General features: G+C 40.9%; 1 protein-coding gene across 3 annotated transcripts in view, besides 1 other annotated feature; it reads left to right on the top strand.

Moving 5' to 3' along the window:
* Positions 760 to 1,099: a silencer, noted in NCBI's record as "silent region_17517". NCBI's record gives its function as "represses an Ori minimal core promoter by ATAC-STARR-seq in GM12878 lymphoblastoid cells {active_cell/tissue: GM12878}" and the evidence as "EXISTENCE:reporter gene assay evidence [ECO:0000049][PMID:35858748]".
* HDDC2 (HD domain containing 2) overlaps positions 789 to 21,378 on the top strand; it is a 26,618-nt gene continuing 6,028 nt past the window's right edge. The window contains exons 1-5 of one of the 3 annotated variants that reach the window (XM_024446450.2): positions 996 to 1,158; positions 1,404 to 1,512; positions 2,097 to 2,218; positions 3,940 to 4,042; positions 9,847 to 9,915. In XM_024446450.2, the coding sequence (XP_024302218.1) occupies positions 2,160 to 2,218; positions 3,940 to 4,042; positions 9,847 to 9,915 (231 nt within the window). In that variant the 5' untranslated portion in view covers positions 996 to 1,158; positions 1,404 to 1,512; positions 2,097 to 2,159. Of the gene's footprint in view, positions 908 to 995; positions 1,159 to 1,403; positions 1,513 to 2,096; positions 2,219 to 3,939; positions 4,043 to 9,846; positions 9,929 to 21,378 lie in introns of those variants that run through there. The other 2 variants (NM_016063.3, XM_047418850.1) reach the window with 2 other exon arrangements.

Raw genomic sequence — 21,378 nt, 5'->3', positions numbered from 1 at the left:
GTTCTGCTTGGCCCACTACACTGAAAACTGCTTTTGTCAGGGTAACCAATAATATTGAATTTACTAAGTCTGGAAGTCAAACCTTGGTCCTCACATTGACTTGGTTGACCATATTCCTTCCTTCTTGAAATATTTTTGTACATGGCTTCCAGGACACAACTATCCTACCTACTAATCCTCTTCCTACCTCACTGGCTGTTCCCTCTTGATCTCACAAAGCCTAAATGTTGGGGTTCAGGTCTTGGGTGTCTTTTCTTCTTCATTCACACCCTCTTGCCAGGTGACCTCATCCAGTTTCATGGTTTTACACTGTCAACTGAAGAATAACGAGGTTCATAAATTTAGAAAGGAGAGCTTTATTTTTCATAAAGAGTACTGAGTGTCAAGTATGTGCCAAGCAAGGTGTCTGCCACTGACGGAGCAATGCCCAAGCAGCGGACACCAAGGCCAAGAAGGCGAAGGCTGGACAGAAGGTCCTGAGAAAACCGTGAGAATATGGAGGAGGGGGAGGAGGAATAAGAACAGGAGGAGGAGGGGGAGGAGGAATAAGAACAGGAGGAGGAGGAAGAGGAGGGGGAGAGAGGAAGAGGGGCAGGAGGAAGAGGAAGAGGAGAAAGCGGAAGTGGGGGAGGAGGAGGAGGAGTTGGAAGGGGAGGAGGAAGAGGGGGAGCAGGAAGAGGGGCAGAAGGAAGAAGAAGAGGGGGAGGAGAAAGAGATAGAAGAGTAAGAGGAGGGGGAAGAAAGACAAGGGGAAGGGGAGGAGGAGGAGGACGGGGAGGAGCTTCGCCGCGGCCTGCTCCGCCCAGCCGGGGTCGGTGGCCGCATGGCTTCGGTCTCCTCTGCGACCTTCTCGGGCCACGGGGCTCGGTCCCTACTGCAGTTCCTGCGGCTGGTAGGGCAGCTCAAGGTGAGCGGGCACCAGGCCGGGAGGCCGCGGCCGAGCGGGCGGGACTGTGGGGCGGCGGAGCTTCCGGCCTCCCCGCTCGGCCGGCGGTCTTTGCCCTTCCTGCGCCGCGTCCGCCACGCCGAATTCCGGAAAGGCCCCAGTCCTGCGGATGCGGCCGCGCGTTGCCGACGGTGGACGGAGGAAGCAGCCGGCGGGACAGGCTGGCCAGCTGGGGCGGCCCGGAGTCTGAGCCTAGAGCCTGGCGCCGCGAGGTCCGCACTGCAGCCGCGCCAGTTCCCGGAGAGCAGCCGGCCTGGCCCTGCCTGCACTGAGCTTTTCCGGGGCTCACGACCCCAGAACTCGTGTGTGTGTGTGTGTGTGTGTGTGCTCACGACCCCAGAACTCGTGTGTGTGTGTGTGTGTGTGTAAAGCGCGGCTGCTTCTGAGCACGGGTGGGAAGAACAGAATCTGTCGGCTCCTCAGATTTTAAGTGGAGCTTTTTATGTCTGTCTCACAGTTACTTCCAGAAACAAGACTTTTCTCCCGGCCACCCCCCAAACGGGATTTAATGTAATACACACGAGTTTCATCATGTGCGTCTTCCCCGTCTCTCTCCCAAGTTCAAAGTAAATTATCCGTTTCATGCCACTCTGACTACTATTTATAACATTCCTTAGAGATGTAGAATTCTGAGGAAGAAATGCAGTTTCACAAGATGAAGTTATGATGTGAATAAAAGGAAGAGTCACGGCTGGTAGCATCAAGCAATTAGAAGTGCCCTTATCCCTTGTGCCTCAGAATTTGGAAGCCTATCACTCGTTCACGTTCAGACCCTTCAATACAGTGTTTTCTGCTTGTGTAGGATTATTTGAAGGCAAAAAGCCGCAACTCTTGTTCGGAAAAATGCAGTTTTGTTTTTGTTTAAAGGACTTGCATATGTTCCATAATTATACATCAGTAACAGAATAATTTGACGAATGGACTTTGTGACTTATCTCTCTCTGTCTTCTACCCCTTTCATTCTCTGAGCTCTCTAGTTCATTTGATTCCAGATGTCTATCATTTTAGCTAGTTTAGCAAAACATTTTGTAATAGGTTCTGAAATTATGACCCGGCTTCTGTGTGTTATATCCTGGACATCTCTTGAAGAGCATAGCAGATAGTTAATATTTGTTCTTTAAAACTTCTTTTTCTTCTTCATATTTATCAGAGAGTCCCACGAACTGGCTGGGTATACAGAAATGTCCAGAGGCCGGAGAGCGTTTCAGATCACATGTACCGGATGGCAGTTATGGCTATGGTGATCAAAGATGACCGTCTTAACAAAGACCGGTAAGCTGAGCTGGACTTTGATGCTCGTGAGAGATTCTGGTCTATGGGTGTGCACCCGTTTTTACTACTGAGACCCATGTCAAATCCTTGTAGGTTAGTTTATAGGTCAAGAAAAATTATTTGAAGCAAACCATACAAATTTAGGATGTGGGTTATGTTGCCTCAGTTGTTGTAAACTGCAATCTGGGGTTTCTGTTGGCAAGTGATAGAGCCTGCCTAGGGTATCAGGGGAAACTTAAGTGTGATATTGGGGCCTTGAAGGTGAGTGTGTTATGTCTAAAATTCTAGCATTGTATTAGTACACTGTGTGCTCTTTCCTAGTGCCTTTTATGGATAGTAGTATCCATTCGTGAGGCTTCCTTTTGGAGTTGTGTGTGCAAGACATAGCTGAGAAAGAGGTATCTTCTCCCCCTTCATTTAATCGACAAGTGTTAAAATGCTTTTTGAGCACAGAACAAAAGTTTACTAGCATGTAAGAGAGTAAATAAATCCCAAGTGAATTACGCAGGCCCAAAATAGCTTCTGTAAGAAGTGAAATGTAAGTTATGGTCGAAAATGTTAAGTATTGTAAGAGCAGGGGAGATCACCTGTTCTTGGTTGATCTTAATGGAGGAGGTGCAATCTGAGTTGAGCTCAAAAGGGTTAACGTAGCCAGAGAGGTAGGAGAAGTCACTGCATGCAGAGAGAAGGGCAGATAAACCAAAGCCCTGAGTGTAGGAAAGTAAAGGAGTATTTTGCAAATGAGAAATTAATCAACTTGACTGCAGCAAAGAGTTCATTTGGGAAGCCTGAGGAGTCCTCTGTTACTCAGCAGATGAAGTGGAACTGAGGAGGTTTTTGGCAAATGGTACAAGGTGAAAATGAAGTCCAATAGAGATGCAGTTTGGAGTAGTCTGGGATTTGAACTGGACCAGAAAGAGACTAGAGGCAGGGAAATCTCAGAGGACACTGTTGGGCCTTGTACTGCCTTGGTAGTGTGGGGAGCCTAAAACATACTGGCCCTATGGGGCATTTATCTCATTACTTGACTTCCTGTTTTGATGATGAATTATCACAACCACTATTCCTTAACCGCTAATAATCATAACCACTTATTGAATGATTCACATGTGTCAGGAACATGAAAGTTGTCAAATGTAATCTCGTTTTTTTTTGTTGAGACAGTCTCACTCTGTCGCCCAGGCTGGAGTGCAGTGGTGCAGTGTCAGCCAACTACAACCTCCACCTCCCAGATTCAAATGATTCTCCTGCCTGAGCCTCCTGAGTAGCTGGGATTACAGGTGTGTGCCACCACACCCAGCTAATTTTTGTATTTTTAGTAGAGATGGGGTTTCACCATGTTGCTAGGCTGGTCTCGAACTCCTGACCTCAGGTGATCCGCCACCTCGGCCTCCCAAAGTGCTGGTATGACAGGCGTGAGCCACCGCACCTGGCCTATTAGCCTTTTAAAGTGAGATTTCAGAGATAAACCATTTAAGAAAAAAAATTAATGCTAACAATTTCCCCTATACTCACATGTATTTTATTGAATATGAACTAACAGTTTTGATCAGAACTGTTGTAGGCTGGCAGAATATAACTACTTTAGAAAATACTACATTAAAATACTCTGTGAGGGTGGAGAAAAAATATATATATTATATAACTTTGGAAGAGTATAGAGAAGGAACTTGTAGTAAATATAATTCTGTGTAATTATTCGACATTTCTTGCCTGATCAGATGTGTACGCCTAGCCCTGGTTCATGATATGGCAGAATGCATCGTTGGGGACATAGCACCAGCAGATAACATCCCCAAAGAAGAAAAACATAGGCGAGAAGAGGTCAGTGTTGACTATTGACTGTGCAAAAAACCACCAGAAAAACCTCTTGCTGAAGCAAAGCTAAGTTTATGAGACCTGTTACAGTTAGGGAGAATACCGCCTTGATAGTCTTAGTAGTGTCTTAGGAAGGGGAAGGTCAGGGGAAGATATTTTTAGAGATTCAGGGCCTGGGCTGGAGAATATTAAGATGGATCTGACAAGTTAGGCAACTAGCTGGGATTGCACAGTTTAGGATATAATAGATTTAGATTGGTAAACATGTGAAGGAAGGTCGTAATGAGTTTTGAAGAATAAACTGTTAGTGTTGACCCAGTTTTAGGGGGTTTACAGCCTTATCTTCCAGAAGCAGGGATTTCCTGGAATAAGCAGCAGATTGGATTTTGCTTGTTGTGTTAGTCTGTTCTTTTGTAGCTTTTATAAAGAAATACCCGAGGCTAGGTAATTTTTATTTTATTTTATTTTTGTTAATTTCACCTTTTATTTTAGTTACAGGGTACATGTGTAGATTTGTTACATGGGAATATTGTGTGATGCTGAGGTTTGGAGTACAGATCCTGTCACCCTGATAGTAAGCCAATAGGTAGTTTTTTTAACCCCCCTCTCCCTCCACACTAACTTTCATTAGAATAATGAAAATAGCTGGAATTTAAATGAATTTGTAGGAATTCTCCATGCTAAATAAGCTTTTTGGAGAGAAGTTCTATAAATCACAAATCGAATCATTATTGTAATTATTATTTAGTAAATTTTAAGTTACTCCTTTAACTTAGGGGTTGAAGGTAAAGAAAAGTCAAGTATTTGTATTAGAAAGAAATGAATAACATCAATAATGTATTAAATTAACATCAGTTTGGACTCTAAACCCAAAGCCCAGGGCAAACGAGGAAGATATGTTTGAAGCAGAAGCTGGAAAATGAAGGAAGCCTTTTTTGAATGCTGAGTGGTTGGTTTTCAATTCAAGAGTTATTGCTAGCTACTTTTATTAGAGGCCTAAGAGATTGGTCCTAAATTGCTGAGTAGTAGGAGTCTTTATTGAGATGGTTTAACAGGGCAAGTGTGTTTAAATGTCTATTCTCAGAGCTGGGGAGACTGGAGCTTGTGGGGGAAAAGAAAGAGACATCAGACTGTTACTGTGTCTTTGTAGAAAAGGAAGACATAAGAAACTCCATTTTGATCTGTACACCTGTAGACTAACGGGCTCAGTAGCCAGCAGGATTTTTGCCCTTCAAAGGTAAGAAGAGCCACAAGGAACGAGAGTCCCAGTTTAAGAGTTCCAACCTACCCAAAAGTGTAGGCACAAGGGGAATAGTATAAGGAATGTGTTCTTCCTGCCAAAGTTTAGGTCCAAGATACAGGCTGACCAAGACAGGAAAAGGGGAGGAGTCTAAGGAAATGTTTCTCTATATGAATCTGCACTGCCATGAATAAAGAACTGTTCTGTTGACTGGCAGAATTAATATAAAAAGAAACCAATTAGTTCGAGATTCTTAGTTGCAGAAAGGAATTAGCAGCTGAACCAGAGGATGGTGAGTAATGAAGTATAACACAGAGGGAAAGGAAGGGAAAAAAATTCCTCAATTACACAGCTCATTGTAGGATAGTTTTATTCAAGGGTAAATCTGGACATTGTGGACGAGAAATCATATTCTAAAGTACCAGTGAGTCATTGAAGACCTTAAGGTGAAGAGAAGGCAAGGAAAAATGGGGCCTAGAGGAAAAAGACAGACTTCCCTCTGGAAGCACACAGTGAATTTGAGATTCACTCCGCAGAGGAGCAAGTCAAAACCTTCTGGAGAAGAACCAGTCAGTGTGAACCATCTCCAACAACTGGAAGTGAGGAGGACCTACGACTGTCCCTACAAGAGCTGAGTCCTGGCTGGTGACACCCCATGGACAGGCACAGAGGGGACCTGAGCAATCAGAGAGGATACTGCTGCCTTCTAGGATGCTATATCCTGGCTTTGATGAAAAACCTTTCCAGCCTCATTAAACCTCCTGACTGCTGCCCACTCCTGCTGATTCACAGGGGAATAAATGTCATAAGCAGAAGGCAATGGGGAAACATCTTAAAGAACCACAAGTTCTTGGACAAGAAACCAAAGGCTTGGAGAGCACTGATGTTCTATTGCCTCTTCCTGCTGCTGGTCAGGATTTGGGAAGAGAGAAGAAAATCAGGGAGGTGAACAATTCTTTATGCAGATGGTGTTTATGAACAAGATTTGGATGTCTGAACCATGCATTAAGATAATTAAATGAGGGTTTCTTGGCTCTGAGTGGAATTTGCCTAATGAGAACCAGGAAACCTCATTTGCCCTTGCTGGCTACATCAGTGAGCCTCTAAACTAAAGTAGGAGGGAGAAAAAATACAGTGGTCCCTCAGTATCTATGGGGTATTGGTTCCAGGACCCCCATAGATAACCAAATCTGCAGATGCTGAAGATAAAATGGTGTCGTATTTGTATATCACCTGCACATACCCTTCCATATACTTTGTCATCTCTGTATTACTTATGATACCTAATATAATGCAAATGCTATGTAAATAGTTGATAACACTGTATTGTTTTTTATTTGTATCTTTTTTTTTAATTTTTTTTTTTATCTATGGTTGGTTGAATCCGTTAATGCAAAACCCACAGATATGGAGGACCAACTATACTTGATAAACCTGGAAGGCTGATTGTTTTGGAGAAAAGTAGGTATTAAGATGAAAGGGAGAATGAGGGCATAGAAGAAACAAATTTAGAAAGGAGCCAAAAGCAATACTTGTAGTCTGGCCTCATTCCTAAACATATTAACATACACTTGATATTATGCAGGTTGATAATGCAGGTTGATAAATGATGTCTGATAAGGATCACTGTGATCTAGTGAGGTGGAACTTGAAGCTGGAATATAATGGTGGCAGGTCATATTCCTTTGCAAAGGGGAAACCTTATTGAAACAGAGGGCAGAGTCGTGGTATGCCTGTGTCTGGGAGGGTTAAAGTTGCTAAAGAACTTGGAGATTACAAAGAGAATGGAACTTTATCATAGAGTAAGTATGACAAGAAGGAGAAAATGAAAAACACAGCAAACATTTATAGAGTGCTTATTATGTGGCAGATTTATAAAGTGCTTATTATGTGCCAATAATAAGCACTTTATATGTGTATTAACTGTTTAATCCCTATGATCCCTTTAGGTAGGTACCAATATTTAACCCCACTGTGTAGATGAGAAACCTGAAGGACAAAGAGGTCAAATGACTTGCTCAGGGTTCCACAGCTAGTATTAATAAATGGCGAGCCGGGTTTGAAACCCAGTCTGGATCTGGTCTTCAGTTGACTACTACACTCTTCAGCCTCATCAGTGTCTGAATGATGAATAATACCTTCCAGTTACTTGTCACAAAACTGACACAAAATATTTGCTGAAAGCTTCATTCAGCTCGGCACTTTAGGCAGATTTTTGACATATTTTGCTAACAGAGGAAGAGGCTAGGGAAGCTGTCACTCTAAATCTATGACTGAACAACAAGGTGAAACTCAGTATAGAAGTGGAAGTGTCAGGGCTCATCGCTTGCCAGGAAGGGAAAGGCTGGCATACTCAGCTGTGTACCCTGGACCTCAGCCATGTTGATTTCAGAGGGTTCAATTAAAAAGGCATGATTCTGGCATGTGCTGCCAAACAAAGAATATTAACTCTCTACAAGGTTTCAAAAATGCTATTCTGATTGTGTGATTAACAAATATCAATCAGCCTAGATTCAGAAAATCATAGTTCAGTTTCAGGAAGAGAGCAACAACGTATTTGCTGTTTTGTTTTTTAAAGAATATGGTGATTTTGAACAAAAAGAAGCCTATTAATAACTTAGTAATTGGATGTGATCACCAAAAAGCCAATTCAGTCTTACACTGCACTTAAAGGAATATAGTATCTAGCATGAGGAAGGTGATGATTCCATTTTCTTCCACCTTGGTCAGATCATACATATATCACTGTATTCAGTTCTAGGTGTGTCATTTTAAAGAGAATAAAATAGTCTCCTGTCAGAGCAGGACTTTCATGTTTGCATTCTACAGTTGAGATGTTCATATACCTGTATGTACATATGATTTAGTTCATTCTTTTCAACTGGAAGTAATTGGCAAACTTGTGTTTCTGCAATAGTGTAGAGAAAAGGAATCTATAAAGACACAGTTAATTTGTGAAAATATAAAGTATTTTCTCAAGTATTCTTGCTGAAATTTATGAAAAAGAAACAAGGGAGAATGCATGTACAACATAAGCTAAATTCCTTCCTACTAAGGGTAGTGTGATGCTACCACTCTGTAACTGAACAAGCCATTCAAGATGGTGATGTTATTTATAAGAGTGGATTGTTGACATTGGCAAATGTGGTTTGCTCTGGAAGTGGTTGTATTCTGTAACATTTTTTTTCTCCCAGTAATAAATAAATATACACACAAATGTCCAATTTTATTTTCACTGCTTTCCTGCAACTCACTATTTTATTTTATGTAAGACCTTTATATTGCCAAAAATGGTTTTTATAGCCATATTCCGTTCAAAGAGCCTAACCTCTGTGGTTAGAAGAACTGAGGCTGATTAAAAGGTATGGGATGAAGGTGGTGAAGGAATTTGAAGCTTTTTGAGAGTACTGGAGTAATTCAGAAATAAAGGAAGGATACTGGAGTAACTCATAAATAAAGGAGAAGACTGGAGGATAAGGGTAGCTCCTGGGATCTTTGAGACCAGAAAGTACAGAAAGCCTAGAAGTACAGGACACCCTCTACTCTTATTTTGTCTCTGCTTTTCATTAGGTTTTGGCTAACTCTCAACGCTTCTCCTTGTGGTGGGGAATATGGCTTCTCTCCTAGCCTCTGCTTGACAAATGCAGATGGCCCCTGAATGCCTGGTTTGAATTATAAGATTATCTCTTAGACCAGTCACTGTGGCCACAGATAGTCCAGCCCAGCGGGGTCACTGTCCACCTGTTTGACGTTGTGTTTGTGGGTTAGAGAGGAAAGCAGGAGGGATGGGTTAGGTGTGGTAGAAGAACTACAGGGAAAATTTTCAGCTTGATATAAGAAAATAATTTCTGCCAGTACTGTCTAAGGCAGCCTCTTGAGGTACTAGGCTCCCTACCAATGCACACATTTTTGGAAAGAGGATAGAACTGTTCCATGATGCTATTGAAGGGTTCAGATACTACATGGATGGTTTAGCTAATTGCCGTTTAATATCCCTTTTCAGCCTGTGAGTCTGTGAGCCTACAAAATTCTATCATGTAACTTCGTTTATGTTAATGGCAATAATCGCTCATTTGTATTGTACTTTACATCTTGCAATAAAAACATGTTAACAATAGAAAATGAATATACAAAAAATCTCTTTGAGCTTTGTAATTCAGTATTCCTTTCCCATTCTCCCCACTCAGGTTTGTTTTGAACTCTCATATGCTTATGATTGAAATGTATGTGGGTATGTTGTGATTTATCCACAGATGTAAAATCCTTGAACACCTCTGATATTTCTGTAATTGTCTCATGACCTCCTCATTGTCCTTTTCTATGTCTGTTGTGTTGTAGACCACAAAAGAGGTGCTAAGCGAAGCCCATATGAATGATTACACTTATTTATTTAAGGTATACAACTGCCTGCCTTCCTCACAAGCTATAAATATTGTCCAGTATAGGCCAATTTACTCTGCTGCCCCTGTGAGAGTTGTTTGTAAGAATCCGAACCTATTTGTCTGTTGCAGAGTGGTTGTTAACTGTGATAAATGTCAATATAATTAAAGATAATGGTTTAATATTTCAGGAAGCTATGAAGCAGATAACCCAGCTCCTACCAGAGGACCTCAGAAAGGAGCTCTATGAACTTTGGGAAGTAAGTATATATGGTACGTTACTGTTTTTAATTTGTATCTGAATTTATATGGCTCCCTGATGTTGTACTTGACTTAGATGATCTTAACAAGCGGTCCCTAACTTATTACTGTCTGGTTTGTGTCTGTTTCTCACTTCCCAGCTGCTGCAGAAATTTCTCCTGATGGATAGAAATTTTGTATCTCTCCAAGTTCCCCATTTCCCTCGCCACCCCAACTCCTGGCACTTGACTCAGCCCTTGAGTTCTTGCTGCTTTGCCCACACCCACCCATTTTTGGTCCTTGAAAAGAACATGGACTTGGGGATAGTTCAGAGCTGGGATTGAATCCCACCTCTCCACTTTGAGGTTCTGTGACCTCGGCACGTTTCCCTCACTGAGTCTGTTGCTCATCTGTAAGACCCTGGAGGGTTGCTAGGGTTGGATGAGGTCAAGGTGAAGTGCCACAGAGATGCCTGGCATGGAACAGGGCTCTACCAGTGCTCACTCCCTTCCCAGTGCTGCTCCCTTCCCAGTGCTGCTGACAGTGAAGGGAGGTTAGGCTGGAAGGAAAGGGCAGGTTCAGCTGTTGTTTCCCATTGCTTCCCTCTTCTACTGTTGTCTTTCATTTGTGAAGGGAAAAAAAAATTCCCCTTTCCAATTACAGTTTCTCTCTTCCAGCCAGTCCACAATGGCCCTTCCTTGCTTGAGCCCTAAGCCTCCCCTTATTCATAGATAGCCTTTTCCTCCCACTCTCACTTTTCACATCTTCTTCAAAGTCCATATTCATCCTCCTGTCTTAAAGCTTGATCTTCTACCTTCCCTTTCTACTTCCTTACTCAGGCCCCTTCCTGCTTTGCCTCTGCCAAAGCTGGCAGAGTTTCATGTCTTACTCCCTCATGTGCTGGGTCAGGTTGTCCCTTGTCTTAGGAGTGTGAGGGGAAGTGCCCAGGGTTGAAACCCTGCACAACTCCTTCTAGAAATGCCATGTAACGCTCAGATTCTGTATGGCACTGTCATTTTCTGTGGTTTGGGTTGATGGTGGGATGAAATAGCCATTTTAAGGCATTCAGGTGTGGTGCAAAGACCAGAGCCTTGCAGCCAGAGAGACCTGAGTTTGGATCCAACTCCTATTTACACACCCATGTGTGAGTTACTTGACTCTATTTAACCACATTTTCTCCTCTAGAAAATGAGAATCATACAGGTTCCCACACCCTTATCCCCAGTTATGAAATTCAGAAACCTCAGAGGACCAGTTTTTAGGAAATTTGACCTGACCTGAACTCATTAGGCAGCAAATCTTACCTGAAACAACATCAGGCTATTTAGAGTCCTCATCCATCTCTCTTGGTGTGGAAATGGGTATGCTTTGATGCAGAAATCTTCATCCGGCAACTGAGTGCTGTCCCAGACCTCACTAGAGGCATGACTTAGTGTACACCATATGTACCATATTATTTTTCTAAAATAAGGAAATGCTGAAAGCCAAAAGCTCTGGCCCCAGGGTTTAAGATGAGAGATTATAGGCCTTCAATACCTATCTCGTTGAATAATCATGAAAATTAAACCTGGCAAAGTATGTGTAGTATCTAGCTTGGAGCCTGGCTCAGACAGTACCTGTTACTACCCTGTTACTACACTTTAGAAAAGTGTGCCTCGTCTCAAAGTATATACTTTCAAATGAACTTTCAGAACACTCCTTATATGTTGGGAAATAATGGAGTGGAGTTAGGTTGCATCTCATTCATAAAAGAAAAAACAGTAGCACCTCATGTATTGTCGCCTAAGGGGGAAACACTCTTGTATTATTAATTTGAAAAACTTCTACAATAGTTTGTACCTTTGTGCCTAATTATTGTAGACATGGTGGCAGTTATCTATTAAATTATTTTCTTAGCCATCAGTAACTGGTGAAAAACTTTACTGCAAAATTTACTTGCAGTAGTATCTTCCAAAGATAAATGCTACAAAAGCTATTTAGAACGGCTTTGAATTTGAACAAATATAAAACAGAGAATTAAAACACTTGATAACCCCTAAAGAGGTAATAAGTTTACTATCTTATAAATGTCATTGGTTGAATTAATGAAGCCTGATAAAGATTTCTCTCCAAAAGCAAAAGGAGGATTCTTCCTTGCCTCTTTCTAGCTTTTGGTTATTGCAGTCCTTGGTTCGCAGACACATCACTCCAGTCTCTTCCCTGTAGTCACATGGTATTGGCCCTACGTCAGAACCCATGTCCAAATTTCTCTCTATTGAATAAGGGTCCGCTCTCATCAAGTAAGACCACGTCTTAACTTGATCACTTCTGTCGAGACCCTATTTCCAAATAGGGTCACATTCACAGGTCACATTTACAGGTTGTAGGCGGACATAAATTTTTCAACATAGTATTCAACACAGTACAAGTTTCTGTAATAATTTATGCATTTTATACTTCATGTCTAATGTTGGTACATAAGTTTCAGACTTCCAAGGTTCAAATAGTGGCTCCCCTGTTTACTAGCTGTGAGATCTTGAGCAATTAATCTCTCTGTGCCTCAATTTCCTCATCTGTAAAATGGCAATAATTATAGGGTTGTAGGAATTAAAGTAATTAATATACATAAAGCAATGAGGATACTGCCTGGCACATAGTAAGCTCTATTTTTCTCTGTCTCCAGTCCATGTATCGTGGTTTTTGGTTTAAGAAAGTAGGGTCATTCTGTACTCACTGAGCTTAGAATAGCATTAGTTACATAGAAAATGACAGTTGATTGGTTTTAGAAATGCTAATTACAACTATTTATCACTTTAAAATATTTCTTAGCCCAGAGGATCACATCTATTTGCAGCCATTAAACATCCTTGATTATAATTTATCTTTTATCATAAAAAGTGAAATCACATTTCACCCAGCCAAGAAAAAACATTTTTATTTTATTTTTCTGAAAGTATCACAGAAAGATGTCTTCTCCACCACCTGCATTTTGCCTTAAAGAAATGTCCTTTTGAGCCCCAAGGCGTGAGGGGAGCCTCTCCTGCATGTGAAATGCCTAGTACACCCCACCGTCCTTGGATTGTTTCTAACCCCAAGTTTTCTCTCCACATTGTCAGAAGTTCAGTCAATTGGAGATACAGTTAGGTTAACAAGTACCCTTTTAAAAATGTCTCCCCCCAATTCATTCTTCAAAGTACAGGTGGGGCTTGATGTAGAGCAGCATAAGGACCCCAGAACCCTGGAGGGAGAGTCACTAGGAGGTTGGAGAGGGGAAGATGCAAAAGATAAACTTCCAAGAGATCAGCACTTCACTCAGGGCCAACCTTTTCCCCAGGAAGAAGGAAATGTTTTTTTTTTGTTTTTTTTGTTTTGTTTTGTTTTTTTTAATTTTTTTTTTTTTATTATACTCTAAGTTTTAGGGTACATGTGCACATTGTGCAGGTTAGTTACATATGTATACATGTGCCATGCTGGTGCGCTGCACCCACTAATGTGTCATCTAGCATTAGGTATATCTCCCAATGCTATCCCTCCCCCCTCCCCCGACCCCACCACAGTCCCCAGAGTGTGATATTCCCCTTCCTGTGTCCAAGTGATCTCATTGTTCAATTCCCACCTATGAGTGAGAATATGCAGTGTTTGGTTTTTTGTTCTTGCGATAGTTTACTGAGAATGATGGTTTCCAGTTTCATCCATGTCCCTACAAAGGACATGAACTCATCATTTTTTATGGCTGCATAGTATTCCATGGTGTATATGTGCCACATTTTCTTAATCTAGTCTATCATTGTTGGACATTTGGGTTGGTTCCAAGTCTTTGCTATTGTGAATAGTGCCGCAATAAACATACGTGTGCATGTGTCTTTATAGCAGCATGATTTATAGTCCTTTGGGTATATACCCAGTAATGGGATGGCTGGGTCAAATGGTATTTCTAGTTCTAGATCCCTGAGGAATGGCCACACTGACTTCCACAATGGTTGAACTAGTTTACAGTCCCACCAACAGTGTAAAAGTGTTCCTATTTCTCCACATCCTCTCCAGCACCTGTTGTTTCCTGACTTTTTAATGATTGCCATTCTAACTGGTGTGAGATGATATCTCATAGTGGTTTTGATTTGCATTTCTCTGATGGCCAGTGATGATGAACATTTCTTCATGTGTTTTTTGGCTGCATAAGTGTCTTCTTTTGAGAAGTGTCTGTTCATGTCCTTCGCCCACTTTTTGATGGGGTTGTTTGTTTTTTTCTTGTAAATTTGTTTGAGTTCATTGTAGATTCTGGATATTAGCCCTTTGTCAGATGAGTAGGTTGCGAAATGTTTAATCTTCCTGTTTTCCTTTCCTCTGCCTATTTAGTCCTCCATTTTCAGGACCTAGAATTTGAATCTCCATCCTGCTTGGACTCCTTGTCCCTCTGTTGCTCTTTGAAACCCCAGTCTGAGTCCTCTCCTGTCCTACCAGAAGGCTGCGAAACACTGATTCAGAGACTCTGTGCCGTGGGGACTGGGGTCACAGCCGCCCTGGCCACCAGGCTCTGCAGAGCCTCAGGGCTGCCAGCACCCCATCAGTGGGCCTCGGGTCACCTCCCTGCCCCTTTCTCCCCCTCCCCTGTCTGTGCCCCACATCAGCTGTTCAGCCCTCTCTTCAAGCATCTATCTTGTCACTTCTCCCCTGATTTTATAGCAAGTATTCTTGCCTCTTCCTTCTTTGAGAACATAGACACTGTCAGATAGGAAGTTCTCCAGCTTTTTAGAAGCCTTGCAAATATGTTCACCAACCCTATTTCAGAATAATTTTCCCTGAATGCCACATTTCCCTACTTCTCTTCAGCACTAAACAGGTGAGGAGTTCGCTGCACTCCCCAACTCTACTTCCTCACAGCCACCATGCTGTGACTGACAGGCCCACCAGGCACTGCTCTTGCTAAGGTCACAGCCGGCCTTCGGCCTTCGTGTGGGTGTGGCTGGATCCGGCAACCCCGCTCTGCCTGTGTGCTGCCTGACACTGTGGCGGCATGAGGTGTTGCCACTCTCCTGCTGAAAACCTCATCCCTCCGGTTGTGACATTGCCCTCTCCTGGTTTTCTCTGAGCCTTTCTGGCTGTTTCTTTTTTCAAATGTTCCCCTCCTTCAACCTACATCTTCAGAACCTGTGTCTTCCTCTCGGGGCCATGTCCTCGGCCTTCTTTTCTCTCCACACCCCTCCTGTGCTTCAGCGATCATGTGCTGATTGCTCCATACATTCTCCTGAAAAACCTTCCTCCGAAGCCCCAGACATGTAAATCCAGCAGCCTCCTGAACAGTTACACCTAATTGTCCACAGGAACCTCGACTCAACAGCCTCATGCCTGTGCCAGTTCTCTTCTGCCATTTTTATTATTTTTAAAGCCTTTTATTGAGAAATAAAATACTCAAAACCATGCAAAAGGCCAAGAGTAGCATAATGAGTTATTAGAAAGATAACTTTCTTCTAACTACAACTCAGGTAAAGATTTAGAACTTTTTCATTCACCCCAGAAGCCCTTCTCTTTGCCCCAATCGAAACACCCTCCCCCAACAAAAGTTACCACTACCCTGATTTTCACAGACATCACTAGAATGTCTTTAAGGTTTAATCACTTAACTATTCATTTCTAGATATTTTAGTTTAATCATGCTCACTTTTTTTAAAGCTTAATGTCTTTTAAATCTCCTTTAATCTACGGTCTGCCCCTCCATTTCTTTCTTTTTCTTATAATTTACCTGTTGAATCCAGACCATTTGACCTATAGAGTTTCCCATAGTTTCCCAGTTGCACACTTGTGGTGCAGGTCACGTTCCTCTGTTCTCTTATTTTATACAGATTGGCAGCTAGTTCCACAGGCTAGATCACACTCAGGTTGGAACCTTTTGGCAAAACTATGGGGGCATATTGGGTTCTTTTGTCATGCACCACATAATGACTAGTTTTTCTTCACGCTTATATCCCTTAATACTTTGGGGCTTCAGAATGGTAATATTCTAATATTTTATTTTTGTTTTTATTTATTAGCTGAAATAATTTTGTGCTTCACTCTCATCTACTCTGATTACAGTTCACATAGGAAAAGGGGGGTAAATATGCTTCTTCGATAGCAGAAATGGCAGGGCGTTCCAGCTTCATCTTGAACATGTTCCACCCTGACCTCCTGTTTTGTTTTTTGTTTGTTTATTTTAAAATAGAAAATGGTATTCCAAGACCACATAATGAGCATTATGGATGGTCATTGCACATATAATACCTTGTGAGTTCATACTGATGTTTTCAATTCAAATTCAGTACTACAGAGTTTTTACTTAACCACTTCTCTATTGTGGTGCGTATCCTTTTTTCCACAACAGGAATCCTGGCTACGTAGTACAGAGAAGATGCTAGCATTAGAAAGTTCTATAAATACTCATTTGCTTTATCCCTCTTTACACATGAAGCAGTCTCAGAATGACAGTTGTATATACCACCATCATTAATTCTGATTACTGAAAACAATTTTAAAAATGGTTTTGCCTGTACTATCCGAGTTATTGTATTTTTTTGAATAGTTGGACTATATCTACATTGTTAAAACATTTCACCATTTCACACTATGACCTTTTCCTTTTAACTGCATTTGGTTTTACTTCTACAAGTAACCATATAGTTATGTTTATCACCAGTCCTTATGTCAGTTTCTCAACAGTTTTGTTTTTCTGAGACTTGTTGCCTAGTAGGTTCCTCATGAATGCCTCACAGAACAGTATTCCTTCTTCTTGCATGTTATTAATAGTTTCTCTGTGTTCTTTATACTTGAAAGTCAGTTTCACTGCATGTAAAATCCTTGTTCCCAGTTTCTTTTCTTGAATATCTTAAATCAGATTATTTATATCAAAATGGAACAGATTTAAGATTTAAGGTCCCGGGATCCTTATATTGCTCTACATCAAGCCCCAACTGTACTTTGAGGGACAGATGGGGAGAGACATTTTTAAAAGGGTACTTGTTAAGCCAACTGTATCTCCAGTTGACTGAACTTCTGACAATGTGGAGAAGCTGTTGAAGTCTGATCATAATTTTATTTTCCTTAAATGCCAGATACTCTTTTTACGTGGGTGTCCAAAGGATTTTTTTTCTTTTAAGTCTGGTAATTTTATTAGAATGTATCTTCATGTTGCTTATTCTGGGTTAATATCCTTAGGTATTTAGCATGAATTTTCAATATATACTCTGAATTTTTTTTTTAATTTAATTTTAAGGTTTTCTTGAGGTATAGTTTTCCTTTTGCTTTGCTATTCTTTTTTCTGGGACTCTTCTGTATCTGTATGTTGGTTCTTCTTTGCCTGTCTTCACTATTTGTCACCTTATCTCAAACTCTTTATATCATCTTCATTTCTGCTCAACTTTTAAACTTTCCATTTCTATTTCTCTTAAGGCATTATTTATCATATTTAATTACCCTTGTGTTCCTTGTGTACCCTTGCGTTCCTTATTGCTTAGTTTCTAAAACAACCTTTTATCTTACATTTCACTGTTCTTATATTGTTCTTCTATGTCTTATATCATTTTCTTTTCTTTTTTTTTATACTTTAAGTTCTGGGATACATGTGCAGAACGTGCAGGTTTGTTACCTAGGTATACATGTGGCATGGTGGTTTGCTGCACCCATCAACCTGTCATCTACATTAGGTATTTCTCCTAATGCTATCCCTCCCCTTGCCCCCCACCCCCCGACAGGCCCCAGTGTGTGATGTTCCCCTCCCTGTGCCCGTATGTTCTCATTGTTCCACTCCCACTTATGAGTGAGAACATATGGTGGTTGGTTTTCTGTTCCTGTGTTAGTTTGCTGAGAATGATGGTTTCCAGCTTCATCCATGTCCCTGCAAAGTATATGAACTCATTCTTTTTTATGCGTTCATAGTATTCCATGGTGTATATGTACCACATTTTCTTTTTCCAGTCTAACATTGATGGGCATTTGGGTTGGTTCCAAGTCTTTGCTATAGTGAATAGTGCCCCATTAAACATACGTGTGCATGTGTCTTTATAGCAGAATGATTTATAATCCTTTGGGTGTATACCCGGTAATGGGATTGCTGGGTCAAATGGTATTTCTAGTTCTAGATCCTTGAGGAATCGTCACATTGTCTTCCACAGTGGTTGAACTAATTTGCACTCCCACCAACAGTGTAGAAGCATTCCTATTTCTCCACATCCTCTCCAGCATCTGTTGTTTCCTGACTTTTTAATGATTGCCATTCTAACTGGCGTGAGATGGTATCTCATTGTGGTTTTCATTTGCATTTCTCTAATGACCAGTGATAATGAGCTTTTTTTCATATGTTTGTTGGTCACATAAATGTCTTCTTTTGAAAAGTGTCTGTTCATATCCTTTGCCCACTTTTTGATGGGGTTATTTGTTTTTTTCTTGTAAATTTGGTAAAGTTCCTGGTAGATTCTGGATATTAGCCCTTTGTCAGATGGATAGATTGCAGAAATTTTCTCCCATTCTGTAGGTTGCCTGTTCACTCTGATGATAGTTTCTTTTGCTGTGCAGAAGCTCTTTAGTTTAATTAGATCCCATTTGTCAATTTTGGCTTTTGTTGCAATTGCTTTTGGTATTTTAGTCATGAAGTCTTTGCCTATGCTTATGTCCTGAATGGTATTGCCTAGGTTTTCTTCTAGGGTTTTTATGGTTTTAGGTCTTACGTTTAAATCTTTAATCCATCTTGAGTTAATTTTTGTATAAGGTGTAAGGAAAGGGTCCAGTTTCAGTTTTCTGCATATGACTAGCCAGTTTTCCCATTTATTAAATAGGGAATCCTTTCCCCATTTCTTGTTTTTTGTCAGGTTTGTCAAAGATCAGATGGTTGTAAGTGTGTGTGTTGTTATTTCTGAGGCCTCTGTTCTCTTCCATTGGTCTATATATCTGTTTTGGTACCAGTACCATGCTGTTTTGGTTACTATAGAATTGTAGTATAGTTTGAAGTCAGGTAGTGTGATGCCTTCAGTTTTGTTCTTTTTGGTTAGGATTGTGTTGGCTATGTGGGCTCTTTTTTGGTTCCATATGAAATTTAAAGTAGTTTTTTTCTAATTCTGTGGAGAAAGTCAGTGGTAGCTTAATAGGAATAGCATTGAATATATAAATTACTTTGGGCAGTATGGCCATTTTCACGATATTGATTCTTCCTATCTATGAGCATGGAATGTTTTTCCATTTGTTTGTGTCCTCTTATTTCCTTGAGCAGTGGTTTGTAGTTCTCCTTGAAGAGGTCCTTCACATTCCTTGTAAGTTATATTCCTAGGTATTTTATTCTCTTTCTAGCAATTGTAAATGAGAGTTTGCTCATGATTTGGCTTTCTGTTTGTCTATTATTGGTGTATAGGAATGCTTGTGATTTTTGCACATTGATTTTGTATCCTGAGGCTTTGCTGAAGTTGCTTATCACCTTAAGGAGTTTTGGGGCTGAGACAATGGGGTTTTCTAAATATATAATCATGACATCTGCAAACAGAGGTAATTTGACTTCCTCTCTTCCTATTTGAATACTCTTTATTTCTTTCTCTTGCCTGATTGCCCTGGCCAGAACTTCCAATAACATGTTGAATAGGAGTGGTGAGAGAGGGCATCCTTGTCTTGTGCCGGTTTTCAAAGGGAATGATTCCAGCTTTTGCCCATCCAGTATGATATTGGCTGTGGGTTTGTCATAAATAGCTCTTATTATTTTGAGATATGTTCCATCAGTACCTAGTTTATTGAGAGTCTTTAGCATGAAGAGGTGTTGAATTTTATCGAAGGCCTTTTCTGTATCTTTTGAGATAATCATGTGATTTTTGTCATTGGTTCTGTTTATGTGATGGATTATGTTTATTGATTTGCATATGTTAAACCAGCCTTGCATCCCAAAGATGAAGCCTATATTTAGGATAGTTAGCTCTTCTTGTTGCATTCATCCCTTTACCATTATGTAATGCCCTTCTTTGTCTTTTCTTTATATTTGTTGGTTTAAAGTCTGTTTTATCAGAGACTAGGATTGCAACCCTGCTTTTTTTTGCTTCCCATTTGCTTGGTAAATCTTCCTCCATCCATTTATTTTGAGCCTGTGTGTGTCTTCGCACGTAAGATGGGTCTCCTGAATATAGCACACTAATGGGTCTTGACTCTATCCAATTTGCCAGTCTGTGCCTTTTAATTGGGGCATTTAGCCCATTTACATTTAAGGTTAGTATTGTTACATGTGAATTTGATCCTGTCATTATGATGCTAGCTGGTCATTTTGCCCATTAGTTGATGCAGTTTCTTTATAGTGTCGATGTTCTTTGCATTTTGGTTTGTTTTCACAGTGGCTGATACTGGTTTTTCCTTTCCATATTTAGTGCTTCCTTCAGGAGCTCTTGTAAGGCAGGCCTGGTGGTGACAGAATTCCTCAGCATTTGCTTCTATGTAAAAGATTTTATTTCTCCTTCACTTATGAAGCTTAGTTTGGCTGGTTATGAAATTCTGAGTTGAAAATCTTTTCTTTTTTCTTTTTTCTTTTTTTTTTTTTGAGATGGAGTCTGGCTGTTATTGGCCTGGGCTGGAGTGCAATGGCATACTCTCGGCTCACTGCAACCTCCGCTTCCCGGGTTCCAGCAATTCTCCTGCCTCAACCTCCCGAGTAGCTGAGACTATAGGCGCCCGCCACCATGCCTGCCTAATTTTTGTATTTTTAGTAGAGACAGGGTTTCACCATGTTGGCCAGGCTGGTCTCGAACTCCTGACCTCAGATGATCTGCCCGCCTGGGCCTCCCAAAGTGTTTGGATTACAGGCATGAGCCACCGTGCCCAGCCCTTTTTTAAAGAATGTTGAGTATTGGCCCCCACTCTCTTCTGGCTTGTAGGATTTCTGTAGAGAGATCTGCTGTTAGTCTGATGGGCTTCCCTTTGTGGGTAACCCGACCTTTCTCTCTGGTTGCCCTTAACATTTTTTCCTCTATTTCTACCTTGGTGAATCTGCTGATTATGTGTCTTGGGGTTGCTCTTCTTGAGGAGTATTTTTGTGGTGTTCTCTGTATTTCCTGAATTTGAATGCTGGCCTATCTTGCTAGGTTGGGGAAGTTCTCCTGGATAATATCCTGAAGTGTGTTTACCAACTTGGTTCCATTCTCCCCATCACTTTTTGGTACGCCAGTCAAACATTTGGTCTTTTCACATAGTCCCATATTTCTTGGAGGCTTTGTTCGTTCTTTTTCATTCTGTTTAATCTTGTCTTCACACTTTATTTCATTAAATTGATCTTCAGTCTCTGGTATGCTTTCTTCCCCTTGATTGATTTGGCTACTGATAGTTGTGTGTGCTTCACGAAGTTCTCATGCTGTGTTTTTCAACTCCATCAGGTCATTTTTGCTCTTTTCTAAACTGTTTATTCTGGTTAGCAATTCCTCTAACCTTTTATCAAGATTCTTAGCTTCCTTGCATTGGGTTAGAACATGCTCATTTAGCTCAGAGGAGTTTGTTGTTACCCACCTTCTGAATCC

This window comes from Homo sapiens, chromosome 6 (assembly GCF_000001405.40).
Source record: "Homo sapiens chromosome 6, GRCh38.p14 Primary Assembly".
In the NCBI taxonomy this organism is placed as follows: domain Eukaryota; kingdom Metazoa; phylum Chordata; class Mammalia; order Primates; family Hominidae; genus Homo; species Homo sapiens.
Note: the sequence above shows the minus strand (reverse complement) of the source record. Positions and strands in the feature narration are given on the sequence as shown.